The sequence below is a fragment of the Homo sapiens genome, chromosome 8, assembly GCF_000001405.40.
Source record: "Homo sapiens chromosome 8, GRCh38.p14 Primary Assembly".
In the NCBI taxonomy this organism is placed as follows: Eukaryota; Metazoa; Chordata; class Mammalia; order Primates; family Hominidae; genus Homo; species Homo sapiens.
The window spans coordinates 37,878,661-37,898,058 of NC_000008.11; the positions used below are offsets into that span (position 1 = coordinate 37,878,661).

The window sequence follows — 19,398 nt, forward strand, 5'->3', positions numbered from 1 at the left end:
GTAAAAAAATAATAATAATACAACACAGAATTAAAAAAAAAAAAAAAGTGGGGAGGGGGTTGGGCATGGTGGCTCACACCTGTAATCCCAGAGATTTGGGAGCCTGAGGCAGGAGGATCACTTGAGGCCAGGAGTTCAAGACCAGCCTGGGCAATATTGCGAGACTCCATCTCCATAAAAAATTAAAAAATTTGCCGGCATGGTGGTGTGCGCCTATACTCTCAGCTACTCAACATGAGCCTAGGAATTCGAGGCTGCAGTGAGCTATAATTGCACCACTGCACTCTAGTCTGGGTGACAAAGTGAGACTCTGTTTCTAAAAATAAATAAATAAAAATAAAGAATTTTTTAAAAGAGTGAAATCAGGCTAGGCACAGTGGCTCACGCCTGTGATACCAGTACTTTGGGAGGCCGAGGCAGGCAGATCACCTGAGGTCAGGAACTCAAGACCAGCCTGGCCAACATGGCGAAACCCCGTCTCTACTAAAAATACAAAAATTAGCCGGGCATCATGGCGAGCACCTGTAATCCCAGCTATGCAGGAGGTTGAAGCAGGAGAATTGCTTGAACCCGGGAGGCGGAGGTTGCAGTGAGCCAAGATCATGCCACTGCACTCCAGCACTCCAGCTTAGGCGACAGAGCCAGACTCCATCTCAAAAAAAACAAAAAAAAAAGTGAAATCAGTCAGTTAGAAAATGACAAACACTATATGAGTCCACTTATGTGAGGTTCCTGGGTTAGTCAAATTCATCCAGTCAGAAAGTAGAATGGTGATTGCCGGAGGAGGGGAAGGAGAGAATGAGGAGTTAATGTTTGATGGGTATAGAGCTTCAGTTGTGGAAAATGAAAAAGTTCCGGAGATGGATGGCGGTGATGATCACACAACAATGTGAATATTCTTAATGACATTGAACTGCACACTTAAAAATGGTTAAAATGGGGCCAGGCGCAGTGGCTCACGCCCGTAATCCCAGCACTTTGGGAGGCCAAGGCGGGCAGATCACTTGAGGTCAGGAGTTTGTGACCAGCCTGACCAACATGGTGAAACCCCATCTCTACTAAAAATACAAAAAATAGCCGGGTGTTGTGCCACATGCCTGTAATTTCAGCTACTCTAGAGGCTGAGGCAGGAGAATCGCTTGAACCCGGGAGAGGGAGGTTGTAGTGAGCCAAGATCACACTACTGCACTCCAGCCTGGGTGACAGAGTGAGACTCTGTCTCAAAAAAACAGGTTAAAATGGTAAATTTAATGTTACATATATTTTACCACAATAAAAAAAATGGTTAGTTGGAAAGGAAGCCTTCTTCCCTAGCTTAATAATCAGAAAAAGTCACATTTCAAACACTATCCAAGAATTACACTTGGTCATTTGCAACCCACTTCAAGATGTGAAAAATGACATTATACCAGTCCAACTCCACTGAGAGACAAGCTTCAGAAAAAGGAGATCTCATGGCATTCATTTTCCATTTAGGAGCCCTATACCTTTGGTGAACTGTAAGAATGTGAGCCAGGTTGGGTACAGTGGCTCACACCTGTAATCCCAGTGCTTTGGGAGTCTGAGAGAGGAGGATTGGTTGGATCCAGGAGTTTGAGACCAGTATAGGCAACAAGGCAAGATCCCATTCTCCAAAAAAAAAATTTTTGTTTTTTTGAGACAGAGTCTCGCTCTGTCCCCCAGGCTGGAGTGCAATGGCGCGATCTCGGCTCACTGCAACCTCCGCCTCCCGGGTTCAAGTGATTCTCCTGCCTCAGCCTCCCGAGTAGCTGGGACTACAGGTATATGCCACAATGCCCAGCTATTCTTTGTATTTTTAGTAGAGACAGGGTATGGTTAGACAGGCTGGTCTCAAACTCCTGACCTCAAGTGATCCACCCACCTTGGCCTCCCAAAGTGCTGGGATTACAGGCATAAGCCACCAAGCGTGGCTAAAAATATTTTTTTTTAATTAGCTGGGTGCAGTGGTGCGTACTTAATAGTCCCAACTACTTGGGAGGTTGAGGCAGGAGGATCACTTGAACCCAGGAGTTCAAGGCTGTAGTAAGAGCTATGATTGCACCACTGCACTCCAGCCTGCGCAACAGAGTGAGACCCTATCCCTTTCAAAAAAAAAAAAAAAAAATGTGAGCCCAGTTTGTAGCAAGACCATACAATGGGACAAATAACTCCAAATACCTGGTCTATAGTGAGCTGTCCACCAGGTCACCCTCACAAACTGAGAACTCACATTCTGAAGTTCTTTTCGGTGACCTATTTAAGAGCGGAAGGTAGTGGACTTAAAGGAAATGATGGTTTTGCCCAAATGAGCACAACTTCCTCTTTCACCTTCAGCCATGGCTGGTGGCTCGCTCACAGGGCAGATCCCTGCCCCCACTGCTACGGCTCCTTCTACACTTAGAGGAAAGGCACAGGGGAAAGTCGAAACCTAACACCTAAACAGCACCTGTGGCATACCTGACACTGCCTACGCACAGAGACATCTTCATTTCAGCCTCACAAGAACGACACGGAGTAGATATTATACCCATTTTATAGATGAAGAAATTGAAGCTCAGAGGTCTGAGAACTGGCACAAGGTCTTGCAACCACTATGGGGTACAGCTAGGATTCCAAATCAGTTTCCCCTATTCTTTCTCCTATTCTTTCCCCTACACCAAGACTCCTGCTTTAAATTCTCTCCTAATTTATCTTGGATGGGCCATCTTTTGTAACATAGAGAAAAGAGGGTTCAAATTTAAATTCTTTTTGAGAAACATTTAAGCTTCTCATTTAAATGTCCAAAGATGAAAGAAGAAAGGAAGGAAACTAACATAGCTTGCCATCAGTCATAAATCGTTGAGATTACTTAAAGGCCAGTATACAAAGTCATCAAGAAGAACTTAAAATGAATTCACAAAATACAGCAAGGAGAGGATAAAATTATATGAGCTATAATTTTGGACCCTTAGGAGACAAATCTTTTATGGTTTTTATAACCTCAATCCAGAGCTGGGCAGGCGGGGAGTGGTGGGTGTTGCAAGACGCAAGGTCTTTTTTTATTTTTTATTTTTTGCAACAGGGTCTCACTCTCTTGCCCAGGCTGGAGTGCAGTGGTGCGATCATAGCTCACTGCAGCCCTGGACTCCTGGGCTCAAGTGGAAAATGCAAGGTCTTTATAGACAATGTCACCCTTGCCAGCCTAGTGTCTGTCCAATACATTTTCCAGGGCCTGGCCTGGAATTGTCTGCATATTTGTCACTTCAATTTTGAGAGGATTATTTATATTTTTCTCTTCTGACAGTCATGTGGTAAATGGTAGCCTTGGTGATGAAGGGTGTTTAGCTTTTGTAAATACCAGTTGCAGGCACCTGAAAAGGAGAAGTTGCTGAACGCTAACTGAGGAGGTTTCGATGACCTCACCAACCGCAGGCGGGCAGCACGCTTCACCTCCCCGCCCAGGGCAGGAGCTTCAGGCAGGGGTTTCTCCACAGCTCTTCCACACGGGCCCTTCTATTAGCCCTCCACGGGGATGCACAAATGTGACAGGCCTCCAAAGCAGCTGTCAGAGGCATTCAAACCAGTGCAACTCCATCTTGAGTGAGGGCTAGGAAAATGAGGCTGGGACTTGCTGCGCTGCATTCCCAGAAAGTTAGGTATTCCTAGCCTCTAGATGTTTATGGGTAAGGGAACAGATGGATAATGTTTACCAAACAGACCCAGACTTGGGAGTGTTCTAATATCCCCAAATCTGGAGAACAAAGGCTATCCTAATTTTGCTTTGAAGCTAATAATATTGATTCTCACAAAATATAGTAATTAAGAAAATTAATCCTTTATCACAAACCCTTGTAGTAGGGCACATCTCTCAATGATCTTTTTATCCTGTGTATGAATAAGCATAGTGCCTAGAGTGGAGGTGTTCCTCCTCTTACTTTCGGGAACGTCCTACTCTGTCTATGGAGTAGCTGTACCTTCAATACTTTGCTTTCTTAATAAACTTGCTTTTACTTTGCACTGCAGACTTGCCCTGAATTCTTTCTTGCGGGAGACCAAACACTCTCTTTTGGGGTCTGGATCAGGACCCCTTTCCTGTAACATAGCCAGTTGACAATTCCAAGGGCCAGCCTTGCCTTTCCGAAAGTATCAGTGAGGTTTTCTTTGCACTTCCTAATGGTTTTTGAGCAAAACTACAACCGATTCCAGAATCCTCCCTCGGGACCAATTATTACCTGATTCTCAGGTCCAATCCCTGGGTCCTAAAGTGGGATTTGCTTTGGAAACTTCCAACACCATTAGGAAGTGCAAATATAAACGTCACCAACTGTTCTTGCTGCTTAATTTCACAAGCAAACCTAAAGCCAAACACCAGGTAGCCAGGCACCAGCCACGGGGCTATTGAAGGATATGAAACAGGCTGAATCACAGGCCAGCAGGGAAACAGCCCAGGCAAAGAGGCAGAATTTACAAATCTGTGCTCCATGTATTAAAGCTGGAAAGCAAAACAAGAATTGTTTCGTTTTTTTTTTTTTCTGGTTTTTTTTTCTTGGTGTTTGTTTGTTTGTCTGTTTGTTTTAGAGACTGAGTCTCACTCTATCGCCCAGGCTGGAGTGCAGTGACGTGATCTCAGCTCACTGCAACCTCCTCCTCCTGGGTTCAACCGATTCTCCTGCCTCAGCTTGCTGAGTAGCTGGGATTACAGGCGTGCGCAACTATGCCCAACTAATTTTATGTTGGCCAGGCTGGTCTCAAACTCTTGACCTCAGGTGATCCGCCTGCCTCAGCCTCCCCAAGTGTTGGGATTACAGGCGTGAGCCACTGTGCCCAGCCAAGAATTGTTTCTTTTACTAGCAATATTATCCTCAAATTCAAAAACAGTTTAAGCAAGGGATGTTTGATAGAAGCATACTTTGATAAGACAGTGAAAGCCACAGTGCTTGAATATCTTGCCCTAAGAAATCCCAAACCAGAAGAACACATCTGGGGATTTTTATATTTAAGATCAACCCAGTTTCTAAGTGTTACTGCCCATGTGTTTTTCAGTTCACTTAATTCCTGCACCTCACAGAAGTAGCTCATAAATAATAAAGTCCCAGCCTAGCAACACAGCATGTGATGGCAGCGTGGGTGTGTTCCAGTATTATCTTTCACGTAGGCCCTGAAAGCTTGAATTATCTCAGAAATCAGGGTTGGGTCCATTTCCCTAGTCCAAAGGGCAGAAAAAGAGAGCCATAATCCCAATGTAGCAAGTTTATTTTTAAGCCCATATTCTGAAAAAATCTTGCCACCTATCAAAAGTAAAAATCAAATGATCCCTTCAATAAACAAATTATTATTGCTTATCATTAAACTCAGTCCTGCAAGAATTAAAAGGATCTCTGGATATGTAGAAAGTGACATAATTTTATTTATTTATTTATTTATTTATTTATTTTTGAGACAGAGTCTCATTCTATTGTCTATTGCCCAGGCTGGAGTACAGTGGCATGATCTCAGCTCACTGCAACCACCGTCGCCCAGGTTCAAGTGATTCTCCTCCCTCAGCCTCCCGAGTAGCTGGGAGTACAGGCGCACACCACTGCATCCGGCTAATTTTTGTATTTTTACTAGAGACAGGGTTTCACCATCTTGGCCAGGCTGGTATCGAACTCCTGACCTCATGATCCACCTGCTTCGGCCTCCCAAAGTGCTGGGAATACAGGCGTGAGCTACCACACCCGGCCAACATAAAATTTCTATAAACTATATACACACACATATATATTTTGAGATGGGGTCTTGCTCTGTTGTCCAGGCTGGAGTACAGTGCACATTCATAGCTCACAGCAGCTTCAAAGTTCTAGGCTCAAGCCATCCTCCCACCTCAGCCTCTTGAGGAGCTGGGACTAAAAGCATGTGCCACCACACCCAACTAGTTGTTGTTGTTGTTGAGACAGTCTTGCTCTGTTGCCCAGGCTGGAGTACAGTGGCATGATCTCGGCTTACTGCAACCTCCACCTCCCGGGTTCAAGCAATTCTCATGCCTCAGCCTCCAGAGTAGTTGGTATTACAGGCAAATACCATCATGCCCAGCTAATTTTTGTATTTTTAGTAGAGACAGGGTTTCACCATGTTGGCCAGGCTGGTCTCGAACTCCTGACCTCAAGTGATCTGCCTGCCTTAGCCTCCCAAAGTGCCAGGATTACAGGTGTGAACCACTATGCCAGCTAGTCTTTTGTTTTGTTTTAGAGATAGGGTCTTGCTATGCTGCCCAGGCTGGTCTTAAATTCCTGGCCACACAGAATCCTCTCACCTCAGTCTCTCATAGTGCCTGGGATTACAGGTGTGAGCCATTGCACTCGGCCTATATTTTTTAATTGTTTTTTTTTTTTTTGAGATGGAGTCTCACCGTGTTGCACAGGCTGGAGTGCAGTGGCGTGATCTCGGCTCACTGCAACCTCTGCCTCCCAGATTCAAGCAATTCTCCTGTCTCGGCCTCCTGAGTAGCCAGGATAACAGGCATGCGCTACCACACCCAGCTAAGTTTTGTATTTTTAGTAGAGACGGGGTTTCACCGTGATGGCCAGGCCGGTCTCGAACTCCTGACTTCAGATGATCCGTCCACCTTGGCCTCCCAAAGTGCTGGGATTACAGGTGTGAGCCAGAAGGCCCGGCCCCCAGCCTATATTTTTAAGTAATAACAGGCATTGGGTAAAAATTCAAATCATACAAAATGGTATAGGATGAAAAATTCCATCTTCCCACCCCTCCTGATCCCATGCCCCTCAGTCTCCATACCAGAGACAACCACTATTATCAGTTTTATACACCCTCCCAAATGGTGGTCCTGCCACAGACAAGCAAAACTGTGTATTATCCAAATAGGCTACCCTGCAGTTTTTGTTTTTGGGGATCTTATTTTTTTTTGGTCAAACACAAGACAAGGCACAGATAAAAGTATACAAAAAGTCATTTAAGTTTTCTACACTTTCAAAAAGATGTTTTATGAAGAGAAATAAGGGAACACAGAAAAAGAATGAGCTAAATACAATGCAGAAAAAAACATGAGCCTGTGCCCACACACAAGAGTGGTGTGCAGGGCACCCCTGAGTAGCCCACTGGGAAGCCCGTGCCTGCATCCATACTGTGAAATCTCTTGGGCTTTTCAGTCCTTCTGGAACAGCTAAGACCATTCAACCATGCCCTATCCTCAGGGCCGGTGTGCCTCAGAACATGGAGTTGGCTTCCCAAACATACCCAGAGCTGATCCCAGGGGTCCTTCTGTCGGAATGTGGCAGGGTCAGGGCAGCATGGCTCTTGCTATGGGGAAATGAAAAGCCTTCCCGTGCAGCCCTGCAGATATTCACGATTACGCTGGTAAAGGACTGACTGGTATGTCTCAAAAATAATCTTTCTGCAGCTGAAACAAACATGTTTTTTCCCTTTAGAACATTCCAGAGAGCAGACATATGCAGAGAAATGATGCCTTCGGAGATTCAGTTCCAACGTTTTTACATGCCAGACGCTGGAAATACAGAGAATGAGGAGGACTAAAAAGCTTTCCCTGCAATGGGATGGGGAACAGGCTCACCCAAGATCACAAAGCATTTGTTACATTGGGGCAACTGCTTCCAACTTTCTAACTTTCAGGCATGAGAGAAATTAATTACAGGTAAAACTCTTGCTGAAGTACACAATTTCATCACAATAATGACTCACATACAAATAAGGTTTCAGGTCATTTAAGCCCCAACAGGCTATCAGAACCACCTATCTAGGGACTGTTCAGGAAGTGAATAAATACTGCATCCCCGTATTAAACACAGGTCTCCAGGAAAGGCCAGGCAAGGAGGACCACCAGCTCTCTGGGTTACCTCCACACTTTACATGTGTCAGTGTTAATTTCAAGGGATCATCATTTCTGTATCCAGTTTGGACTCCGGGTTCGGTGAGGACTGCCTACTTCCTTGGCTACACAAAATCCCAATCCTGACTTATAGCATGAGTCATCTCCACGTTAACCAGGCATCATGACACAGGGGATGATGGCCTCGAGTGAGGAAAGAAGCAGGAAGAACAGAACCACCCCTGACCTAGTGTGGGACAGAGGACACACTTAACCTTTCTTAGATGAAGAAATTTTAAAAGCAGTCCATGAACTGTCTTCCCCAGGAAATAAAAAATCAGGCTGCAAATCATGTAGTTAGCAGTTGAGAACATCTTTTAAAAAGGATCTGAAAAGGAGTGATTGCATATGGGTAAAACGTCCAGTCTCTTCTTCTGGTCACCTAGAAGCCATGCACAGCAGACAGACAGAAATGTTTATGACCTATAAAACATCTGTGCTGTGTACCTTCCAGAAGCTATGCAGTTTAACGAGCGCTGGTATTGAAGAAGGTAGCTAGTCATCATAACCTAACTCTGAACACAGAATTACCCATCAGCCGACATTGCCTCCCTAGACCTTGCCCTCTGCCCATTGTCAGCTACTTGGAAAAATTCGTAAATCATGAGAGTGGCAAATAGGTCATGGCTTGTTTTTTTGACCTTAATTCCCAAAACAGCCACTCCAGCAGCATGGAAAGGCTGTTTGTAGCCACCAAACTGAATTCTAAGAACTGGTAAATGACAGCCAGACATGGAGGCTCACGCCTGTAATCCCAGCACATTGGGAGGCCGAGGCGGGCAGATCACTTGAGGTCAGGAGTTCGAGACCAGCCTGGCCAACATGGTGAAACCCTGCCTCTACTAAAAATACAAAAATGAGCCGGGTGTGGTGGTACACACCTGTAATCCCAGCTACTCGGGAGGATGAGGCACAAGAATTGCTTGAACCTGGAAAGTGGAGGTTGCAGTGAGCCAAGATCGCGCCACGGCACTCCAGCCTGGGTGGCAGAGTGAGACGCCATCTCAAAAAAAAAAAAAAAAAAGTAAAAATGGACTCAGTCCCATGCTAATCTGACCATTGCCTTTTTATAAATCTTCTTTAAGTCTTTTTCCCATACATTTTAACAACTAGCAGCTGAGAAACCTTAGGCAAGATATTTAACCTCTCTGTGGGACAGGATCCTCTTCTGAAACAGGGTTAGGAACACCCACCTCATAAGAATGTTAGGAAGATTAAATGGCTTAATGTATGCAAAGTGCTTAGAACAGTACCTGGCCATAAGTCTTAGCTATAACTCCTACTTAGCTGTACATATGCAATTTTCTTTGTAGTGCATTATACATTACTGGCTTATAATCGTCAAACTTATAATTTTGAATGGCTAAATGATATTCCGTGAAGTGGGTATATGCCATAGTTTATCTACCCATTCAGATGATTCTCTAAAGGGAACTTAGGATTTTAACAGTTTTGACACACTGTATTACTAACCACCCTAACTTATCGACCAAATATAAATAACAATGATTTGCATTTGAAGGGAACAGAAATGACTCACTTCCAAAATTGGTTTGCATTATATAATTTCCAAAATTATGTATCTGTTTATCTATTTTTTGAGACGGAGTCTCATTCTGTCGCCCAGGCTGGAGTGCAGTGGCGCAATCACAGCTCACTGCAGCCTCTGCCTCCTGGGTTCAAGTGATTCTCCTGCCTCAGCCTCCTGAGTAGCTGGGATTACAGGCGCCCACCACTACACCCGGCTAATTTTTGTATCTTTAGTAGAGACGGAGTTTCACCATGCTGGCCAGGTTGGTCTCAAACTCCTAACCTCAGGTGATCCGCCCCCTTTGGCCTCCCAAAGTGCTGGGATTACAGGCGTGAGACACCACACCTAGCTACATTTCCAAACTTAAAAGATATATAAAATTTTTAACAAACCATGATCAGTGTGTACTTTCTTTAAAAAAAAAAATGTATTTGTTTTCATTTTTTTCAGACGGGCTCTGTTGCCCAAGCTGGACTGCAGTGATGCCATCACGGCTCACTGCAGTCTCAACTTCCCAGGCTCAAGCAATCCTCCCACCTTAGCCTACAAAGTAGCTAGGATTACAGGCGTGCACCACCACACTCTGCTAATGTTTTATTTTTTGTAGAGACAGGGTCTCATCATGTTGCTTAAGCTGGTTTTAAACTCCTGGATTCAAGTGATCCTCCCAAAGTACTGGGATTACAGGAATGAGCCACCACTGCACCCAGCCCCTCAGTGTATACGTTCTGCAACTTTTTTTTTTTTTTTTTTTTTTTTTGAGATGGAGTCTCGCTTTTTTGCCCAGGCCGGACTGCAGTGGCGCTATCTCAGCTCACTGCAAGCTCCACCTCCTGGGTTCACGCCATTCTCCTGCCTCAGCCTCCTGAGTAGCTGGGATTACAAGCACCCGCCACCGCGCCCAGCTAAATTTTTGTATTTTTAGTAGAGATGGGGTTTCACCATGTTAGCCAAGATGGTCTCGATCTCCTGACCTCGTGATCTGCCCGCCTCGGCCTCGCAAAGTGCTGGGATTACAGGCATGAGCCACCGCGCCCGGCTTTACTTTCCGCAACTTATTGAGAGATGTCATGATCCTTATGGACCCCTTCAGGGTTTCTACACAGAAAAGAAAGAGACAAGAAACAGAGGGCCCTCGAACTCTCAGAAATAGGCCAAGATGGCATAATTAAGTCTATGAATCAAGATAGGTTTTCTAAGTGGAGAGCAATACTAAATTTCTTGTAGGTGAAGACTAAAGGAAATACCAAGCATCTTTATTTTAACAATTCTCTAAGAATTAGAAAAATTAACTCATTTTTAAACATTTAAGTCTACCACACCCATCATCATGACTTACCAATTCTTTACAAAGCTCGATCCTATCTCAAAAAGCCACATATGTTAATATTCTACCATCAAATCCAGTATCTCACCTCTTGCTCAAATGTAAATGCCACTGATGCATTTATTTGTTCTGTCAAAGAATATTGTCTTGGGGCAACCATGGGGTCCTCACATACAGAGACTTTAAGAATGGAAAAATAAAATGCAATAGTTTGGTTCACCACCCCTTAACCAGGACAAAAGAAAACAAACTTCAGCATGACTGACATCAGAGAACACTCAGCCCTTCCTCACCACATAAACTCCCATACTTCTTGCCATGAGAGTTTCTGGCAAGGAAGCAGAGTATCTATGATTTATTCCATAAGCAAGGTAAGTCCAAAGGAAGGGAAAATAATTACACCAAAAGCATTTCTTTTTTTTTTTCTTTGAGACAGAGTCACCCGGGCTGGAGTGCAGTGGCGGGATCTTGGCTCACCGCAAGCTCTGCCTCCCAGGTTCAAGTGATTCTTCTGCCTCAGCCACCTGAGTAGCTGGGATAACAGGTGCCCGCCACCATACCTGGCTAATTTTTTGTGTTTTTAGTAGAAACAAGGTTTCACCATGTTGGCCAGGCTGGTCTCGAACTCCTGACCTCAAGTGATCCACCCACCTCGGCCTCCCAAAGTGCTGGGATTACAGGCATGAGCCTGGCCTCACCAAAGCATTTCTAAATCCTGTTTTAATAACAAATGATTAGTAAAAATGAAAAGTTCTATTTTGGTGAACCACATGTCACAGTTCTCTGCATGGGAAAGGAGCAGACTGAAGAAACATCTGGGGCCCCAGTCGACTGCTACTGTATTTCACACAGGATGCCCATTCTTTTATAATAACCAGAGGCCTCTTTAGACCAGGCTTTCTAGAGGCCTTAATTGTTCTACCTAGACGCTAGCCATGTCCTTTTTTAAAAAGTGAAGTGGCAGTCACACCTCTAGAAATATTTTTTGGGGATTTCTTATAAATGCCTTCCCTCTACTCCATTCAAAGGCCAGCATTCAGGAAAAGATACTTAATTACCATTGCCTTTTTTCTCTCCACAGGCACATTCCTAAATGTGTCCCCCAGGAACACCCTGGAGACTAAAGCCCTTGATTTTCCTCTAACAGATTATCAACAATCGTCTCCCTGCAGGAGAGGAATTTCTGTCTCATTAGTGGTGAAAACTGCCTCCTTTGCCACAGGCATCATTAGCCAGCAAGCCGCAGAAAGTAACCTGCTTCTTCAAGAAGAAAAGGGTACTCAGGAGGCTGAGGAAGGAGAATCATTGCTTGAACCTGGGAGGCGGAGGTTGCAGTGAGCTGAGATTGAGGCATTGCACTCCAGCCTGGGCAACAAGAGCAAAATTCTGCCAAAAAAAAAAAAAAAAGAAGAAGAAAAGGGCACTGACCACAAAGCCATACCCCAAACTGGGAAACCAAAAGAAGCAGAGCTTTGATTTCATACTTCGGACATCCCCAGTCTGTAATCTACCAGGCTAAACATAAGATTAAATGCTTCTCCACGTTCACCCAGGCAATCTACTGCCTGCCCTGTGCCTACAGGAACCACAACCACTGCCTCCCTCACAGATGCATTTATTGAGCCCCTACGCTGGGTAACACAGCAAAGGACACAACAGACATGGTCCCTGTCCCAGAGGAAAACAGGGCAAAGTCAGGCTTGGTCTCCTCCTGAGCCAGCTGGGGCATGAGATCTGAACCAGGACATCTTATGGAGAGCAAAACCTCTCTCGTTGCCAATACAAGGGTCTGGGGGTTAATTTTGTTGTAATTCAGAGACCCTTAGGTCTAGAGATCTGTGCCAGACCCAGAACCAAAGGCCACCTAGGGAAGTGCTCTGAGATGAAGATAAGGCCTAAAATGACCTCCCATCACTCTCTCTATTCAAGGCTAGACCTTCTTAATCCTTCTGGAGCTAAGCCAGAGCTAGCTGTCCCTCCTTCAAAAGTATAGGGTAAGAAGCACAATTTTCCAGGGCGTATAGCAATGAAAACCATAGTATCTTAATGGATGTCTAAGATTATTGTTAAGGGATAGGAAGAGTAATGTCAGCAAATACATGTTAGAGTTGATGGCATTTTAATAAGCATGTGGATTGCTTGTAATGTAATTATAACATTTTTTAGTTAATAACTACAATTAAAATGACATATCAGATACTATTTATAAAAACCTTCCTCTGATGGGAGTTACAGAAATACAATAGAAGTCTTTGTAACCAAAGGCAGTTTAAGTAAAATGAGAAAGGCACAAGACTCTTTTCTATGCTTACAGTTCGTAATGCAAAAAACATTTAACTGGTTCACTTACTTGAGAATTTTTTTTTCATTTATGGGTCTAACTTTACTAATGTTATATATTATGTTCTCCTTTTCTTAGTCCTATATCCCTTAAAGCAGTGACTTCATCTGCTGTGTGACAGCACATCAATGAGATCACAGCAGCTCTGCTGTTACAAGACAAAGACTTGGCGGTACTGAGTGGGTAATCACTTGCAGACACATACATACACGCCCTGGTTTCAATGGCATTTCCTAGTAATTCACTTCAACAGAAATCTCCAACAGAAATCTCCACTCACAGGTGTCACAGCCCAAAGCTGTCTTTGTAATGGTGACCTCACCCTGGTATCACAGTGACTGTAAGGGAAAGAAAGCAGCTGCCACTTCCTGGTTCACTTTCAACACCAAGCTCTCCTGATTTTATGTGTTCATTCTTATTACTTTCTTTCCCTCTCACCCTACCATATCCAATCCATCATATGTCAGGTCAGTTGAACCTCCAAGATATTTCTTAAATCCACCACCTCTGTCCACCTCCACAGGTGGCTTGGACATCATTCTAGTCCAAGCCACCACCATCCACCATCTAGATTACTGCAACAGCCTCCCATTTTGTCTGTCCAATTCTAGGTTAGGCCAGCTTCAAATCCATTCTCTACCCAAGAGCCACGGTGATCTCTGACAAATAAATTGGACCGTATCAACCCACTACTTTTATTTATATTTATTTATTTATTTATTTATTTATTTATTTATTTATTTATTTTGAGACGGAGTTTTGCTCTTGTTGCCCAGGCTGGAGTGCAATGGCGCAGTCTCAGCTCACCGCAACCTCTGCTTCCCAGGTTCAAGCAATTCTCCTGCCTCAGCCTCCTGGGATTACAGGCACCCGCCACCATGGCCAGCTAATTTTTGTACTTTTAGTAGAGCCCATGTTGGGCCAGGCTGGTCTCAAACTCCTGACCTCAGGTGATCCACCCACCTTGGCCTCCCAAAGTACTGGGATTATAGGTGTAAGCCACTGTGCCCAGCCCCCACTGCTTTTAATTTTAACACTCAGTGGCTTACCATTCCTCCTAAGTAAAGCCTCGCCTTCCTCTTCAGCCTCATCTTACACAAGCACGCCCCCACTTCCCAGGTATTCCTGCCTCAGGGCCTTTGCACAGGCTGCTACTCCTCCACCAGGCCCCCTTCCTCCACTCCTCACTAGAAAAATTCCTCTTCTTTCTTCAGCTCTCTGCCTCAGAGAGGCTACCTGCAATCTCCTTCTTTAAATCATGTCCTTCCTGCCCTTTTCTTCTATAATATCCTGTCCTCTTTCTCCACAGTACTTACCACAATATATGATTATTTATTTGTGAGTTCTTTTTTCTTTTTTTTTTTTTTTTGAGACAGAATCTCACTCTATAGCCCAGGCTGGAGTGCAGTGGAGCAATCTCGGCTCACTGCAATCTCTGCCTCCTGGGTTCAAGCAATTATCCTGCTTCAGCCTCCCAAGTAGCCAGGATTACAGGTGCACACGACCACACTCAGCTAATTTTTGTATTTTTAGGAGAGACAGGATTTCACCATGTTGGCCAGGCTGGTCTCGAACTCCTGACCTTAGGTGATCCCCCTGCCTCGGCCTCCCAAAGTGCTGAGATTACATGTTCATTCGTTTAATGCCTACTCCCCTACAAGGCTCTGGGCTTCCTGAAAGCAGGGATCATCCCTGTTTTCTTCACCATTGTTTACACTGTATATCTAGCACCTGGCACATAGTAGGCATTAAAAAATATTGACTACAAGAATGGATGAGGCTGAGCAAGGTGGCGCACACCTGTAATCCCAGCACTTCAGGAGGCTACAGCAGGAGGACTGCTTGAGCCCTGGAGTTCAAGCACAGCCTGTAACATAGTGAGATCCCATCTCTACAAAAACAAAACCAAAAAATAAATTAGCTCGGTATGGTGGCACACCCCTGTAGTCCCAGCTACTCGGGAAGCTGAGCTGGGAGGATTGCTTGAACCCAGGAGGTCGAGGCTGCAGTGAGCTGTGATCATGTCACTGCACTCCAGCCTGGGAAAGAGTGAGACCCTGTCTCCAAAAAAAAAGGATAAACTTTAGAAACAAGAAGATGGAAAAAAAGCAGGTAGAACTTTCTCCATACTAACTGAATGTCTTACAAATGAAATCATAAACAATACCAACAAAAAAAAACCATGAGGGAATATCTTCCATGTCACCAGAACAACTCTGAAGGACTCTCATCCTTTTTAGTCATTTCATTCCTCTGTTATAAGCAGTTTAGGGTTGTTTATTCTAGAACCTACAGAGAATTCAGGCTTGAGCACTGAGCTATCTCAGTTTCCTACACTAGAGTGGGAGGGGACTGTGGCTTCGAAAGACCTGGGGAGGTTTCCAGTAAGGCTCAATATTATCTTTAAGGGAAATTCCAAGAAAAGAAAAATGTAATCAGTAATAACATTACTTGAATTTTCCAACCTATTAAGCAAAATCTAAATGTTCTTAGGAAACCTAAAGGTATAAAAACAAACACCCATTGCTTATAATTTGTGGATTATGGACCTCTGTGGTCATCTATGTCGTTTTTCTGCATCCAACTCTCCCAGAAAAACAACTATCTAGCCCTTGCTTTTTTCTTTTTTTTAATAACCAACATTTCTGTTGGCAACTTATTTCAGCATCTTATTAAACTTGCAGTTCTTCCAAGTATCTAACCCTTTATAATACCTAAGTCCTTTCATATGCAACCAAATTCCCTCTTGAGTTTTAATAGATATAAGAACATGGCCCTTCATCACTCACACTCTCTCTTCATGTGGGGAGGACTATCGCAATATTAAGTTTCATGGTGTTTAGTTACACAACAGCCTTCTAGTCACCAGGCTGCATAAATATTTGTTTTAATCTATACTTAAGAAATTACTTCCCTAAATTTTGTTGCTCTTAGTATCCAAAAAGGTTTTTCATTTTGATTTATATATACATAAATACATATATATACATATATATATACATATATATATATATATACACACACACACATACATACATATTTTGAGATAGAGTTTCGTTCTTGTCGCCCAGGCTGGAATGCAGTGGTGCGATCTCAGCTCACTGCAACCTCCACCTCCTGGGTTCAAGCATTTCTCCTACCTCAGCCTCCCGAGTAGCTGCGATTACAGGCACCCAGGCACCTGCCACCACGTCCAGCTAATTTTTTGTGTTTTTAGTAGAGACAGGGTTCACCATGTTGACCAGACTGGTCTCAAACTCCTAACCTCAGGTGATCCACCCACCTTGGCCTCCTAAAGTGCTGGGATTACAGGCATGAGCCACTACGCCCAGCCATATATATATATGTTTTTTTTTTTTAGAGACAGGCTTTTACTCTGTTGCCCAAGCTGGAGTGCAGTAGCCTGATCACAGTTCACCCTAACCTTTAACTCTTGAGCTCAAATGATCTTCTCACCTCAGCCTCCGGAATAGCTGGGACTACAGGTGCCTGCCAATATATATATATATATATATATATATATATATATATATATATTTTTTTTTTTTTTTTTTTTTTTTTTTTTTTTTTGGTAGAGTTTGGGTCTCACGTTACCCGGGCTGGTCTTGAACTCCTGAGCTCAAGTGATCCTCCTGCCTCGGCCTCCCAAAGTGCTAGGATTACAGGTAGGAACCACCATGTCTAGCCTCCTAAAAAGGTTTCTATCAATCTAGGGTCCCAAACTATATGAGACTAGAGAGTTGAGCAGAGAATCCCTCATATTGGTCACCCGATTCTACCTGTTAGATTCATGTCTGTTTTGCAGTCACAGTACTTAGCCGATTCCCATTTATCTGAGACCCACTAAGACCCCAGGTCCTTAACAGATGTGTAAGTGCAAAGTCAATTCATTTCAATTTTTCCTAATGGGCCACACATTCTTCCCTACTAGATATATCCTATTTATATGTTAGCCTCTGATGTTTTAAGAGTATATGTCATCACATCTTGACTCTAAATAAATGATACTGGGGCCTTATCAAGAAAACAAATGGAAATATTTGCACAGTTAGCTCTTAACTCCTTGAGTTTCAGCTTCTGGACCCAAGAAAAAAGTCATACTCTGTTGCAGCAACTCTTCTTTGCTAGAGATTAAGACAAAGACAGACAGACAGAGAGACACACACACACACACACACAATCTACAGACCAAGATTTTAGCTTTTGTTTCTTGTTTTAAGTCTGAAATGGAGTCAAACCATTAATCACCCGTTCAAATGACTTTTCTAGCACACCTCATTTCCTTCTGTTAAAATTTCACCTTTCGCCTGGCACGGTGGCTCACACCTATAATCCTAGCACTTTGGGAGGCTGAGGCGGGTGGATCACCTGAGGTCAGGAGTTCGAGACCAGCCTGACCAACATGGTGAAACCCCATCTCTACTAAAAATACAAAAATTAGCCGGACATGGTGGCGGGTGCCTGTAATCCCAGCTACTCGGGAAGCTGAGGCAGGAGAATTGCTAGAACCCAGGAGGCAGAGGTTTCAGTGAGCCGAGATCACGCCATTGCACTCCAGCCTGGGGGACAGAGTGAGACGCCATCTCAAAAAAAAAAAAAATTCCACCTTTCAATGCATATCTTATTCTTTAAATCTCAGCTATCTTGGGCACCAGGGCATCAGACAGCACCCTTGGCACCTTGGAAAGTCCCAGAAAGTTGTAGATGGAAAGTGGAAATTTCATCTACCCATAGAGATGCAAAGAAGCCTTCCTTTGCAGTTATTTTAAGAAAGAAAAAAAAATCAACTAAGCACCATTTTCCTGGAAGTCAATACTGTGACTAGGTGGTAATCGGTTCACATAATAGGTGGGAGTTATTGTATAGGTTTAGGGTTACATTGGATAAAATAAGAAAAATGAAGATGCAGAGACTGAACTCTTCCTGAAAAAAAGAGAGCTCAAGGTTTCAATCTCTCACAAAGCAGTTGCCAACCTTTTCAATCACTTCTTGGATACATTGGCCCCATTAATCCAGGAACCCAGAAACATCTTACAAACATCAATTAAGTCTGGCAACATGCTCTATTTACAAATAGAGAAACTTGGGTGTTTAGGGACAGAGAAGCCCAACAATGAGTCAGGGCTGCTGTGGGCACTGGACCCAGGACTCTGGAATCTCCATCTCTGGCAGGGAGATGTGATCTACCTCTCAAGGGGATAAAATGTCCACATAAGAAACAGGTGGCAGAGAAGGAAGTGAATACACACATGTTGGGATGGCGCAAGACAACGGATGGCCAACAGCACCCATTTGAAGCTGAAGGGAAGCCAACCCACCACCCCCAGTGTCATTTAATCAGATGGAAGATCAGCATTGCTGCAGCCCCTCCTTAGCAAAAACACTGCTCACCTTATGGCTTGTAAATTGATGCTGTGAGATACCCCATCCATCCTCACATCAAGGCTAGTTTTATCTGATGTGAGTTCAGAAATGCCTATTCATCTCTGGCCAGGTAAGTTTGCATCATCAAATATTCCATTTGCAAGCCTACATGCTGAAATGGAACCCACCCCACAGTAAAGGGAGCCTCCAGAGGACAAACCCTCTGGCTTTTCCTGTCTCCCACAGAAGGGAAAGTTAAAAGGCTATGTATATCTAAAACACACAAAGCAAATCAGTGTGATTCCTAGACTATAGGCTTTCGGTGCTAACTGACTGGCCTGTGTATTTAAGATCTAACAAAGTAACCAGCTAAGCTAATCGAGGCTAGCTTTGGCATACTAGATGAACATAATCGAACGTTCCTTTGGGTGAAGCACTGCCCTTTCCGAACACCTGTGAAACAAATAATTCGGTAATATCATGGAGTGAATGGTTTTTGCCCAGTTTTTACTGCAGAAGTGAAATAACCTGACACAATCTTTGGGAGCTACAGGCGAGCAGACATCCACCAGGATTAGGACCAGAGAGAAGAACTCTACCAACTCCAAAAGGAAACAATGCCCAGTTCTGCTCCGTCAAGGGCCCACCCGGGCTCCTTCCAACCTGGAGAAATCTTTACTAACATGGGGCCCAGGGCACACACCACACTGTTGTAACATTCTTTCTGTAGGGGCAAATTCTCTTCACCAACCCCCTAGGCAAGTATGAGGTAGGGGAAGGGGTTAGCAAGTCATGTGACAGCCGGCAAACGCCATTCCCCTCCCCCAACCTCCACCCACCCCGCATTGTAAAGGCGTTGCGCCCGGGGTTAGCCTTTAGGGTGGGGGTGTCAGCTGGTTTCATGCCTCCTGTTCCTCTGCCCTGCGCCCTGGCCCAGTCATTCTCGGCTCGAAGTGTTCTTCTATTCAGTG

General features: G+C 44.1%; 1 protein-coding gene across 3 annotated transcripts in view, besides 9 other annotated features; it reads right to left on the reverse strand.

Annotated features, from left to right (window-relative positions):
• Positions 1-19,398, reverse strand: part of RAB11FIP1 (RAB11 family interacting protein 1) — a 40,880-nt gene that overhangs the window by 20,043 nt on the left and 1,439 nt on the right. The window lies entirely within an intron of this gene.
• Positions 1,339-2,053: an enhancer, noted in NCBI's record as "H3K27ac hESC enhancer chr8:37737517-37738231 (GRCh37/hg19 assembly coordinates)". NCBI's record gives its function as "activates a minimal SCP1, AML or CMV promoter by ChIP-STARR-seq in primed H9 embryonic stem cells {active_cell/tissue: H9 hESC(primed)}" and the evidence as "EXISTENCE:reporter gene assay evidence [ECO:0000049][PMID:30033119]".
• Positions 2,054-2,767: an enhancer, noted in NCBI's record as "H3K27ac hESC enhancer chr8:37738232-37738945 (GRCh37/hg19 assembly coordinates)". NCBI's record gives its function as "activates a minimal SCP1, AML or CMV promoter by ChIP-STARR-seq in primed H9 embryonic stem cells {active_cell/tissue: H9 hESC(primed)}" and the evidence as "EXISTENCE:reporter gene assay evidence [ECO:0000049][PMID:30033119]".
• Positions 3,165-3,274: an enhancer, noted in NCBI's record as "active region_27236". NCBI's record gives its function as "activates an Ori minimal core promoter by ATAC-STARR-seq in GM12878 lymphoblastoid cells {active_cell/tissue: GM12878}" and the evidence as "EXISTENCE:reporter gene assay evidence [ECO:0000049][PMID:35858748]".
• Positions 4,683-4,802: an enhancer, noted in NCBI's record as "active region_27237". NCBI's record gives its function as "activates an Ori minimal core promoter by ATAC-STARR-seq in GM12878 lymphoblastoid cells {active_cell/tissue: GM12878}" and the evidence as "EXISTENCE:reporter gene assay evidence [ECO:0000049][PMID:35858748]".
• Positions 10,994-11,932: an enhancer, noted in NCBI's record as "OCT4-NANOG-H3K27ac-H3K4me1 hESC enhancer chr8:37747172-37748110 (GRCh37/hg19 assembly coordinates)". NCBI's record gives its function as "activates a minimal SCP1, AML or CMV promoter by ChIP-STARR-seq in naive and primed H9 embryonic stem cells {active_cell/tissue: H9 hESC(naive and primed)}" and the evidence as "EXISTENCE:reporter gene assay evidence [ECO:0000049][PMID:30033119]".
• Positions 11,933-12,871: an enhancer, noted in NCBI's record as "OCT4-NANOG-H3K27ac-H3K4me1 hESC enhancer chr8:37748111-37749049 (GRCh37/hg19 assembly coordinates)". NCBI's record gives its function as "activates a minimal SCP1, AML or CMV promoter by ChIP-STARR-seq in naive and primed H9 embryonic stem cells {active_cell/tissue: H9 hESC(naive and primed)}" and the evidence as "EXISTENCE:reporter gene assay evidence [ECO:0000049][PMID:30033119]".
• Positions 11,959-12,158: an enhancer, noted in NCBI's record as "active region_27238". NCBI's record gives its function as "activates an Ori minimal core promoter by ATAC-STARR-seq in GM12878 lymphoblastoid cells {active_cell/tissue: GM12878}" and the evidence as "EXISTENCE:reporter gene assay evidence [ECO:0000049][PMID:35858748]".
• Positions 13,676-13,725: a silencer, noted in NCBI's record as "silent region_19111". NCBI's record gives its function as "represses an Ori minimal core promoter by ATAC-STARR-seq in GM12878 lymphoblastoid cells {active_cell/tissue: GM12878}" and the evidence as "EXISTENCE:reporter gene assay evidence [ECO:0000049][PMID:35858748]".
• Positions 18,460-19,092: an enhancer, noted in NCBI's record as "H3K27ac hESC enhancer chr8:37754638-37755270 (GRCh37/hg19 assembly coordinates)". NCBI's record gives its function as "activates a minimal SCP1, AML or CMV promoter by ChIP-STARR-seq in naive H9 embryonic stem cells {active_cell/tissue: H9 hESC(naive)}" and the evidence as "EXISTENCE:reporter gene assay evidence [ECO:0000049][PMID:30033119]".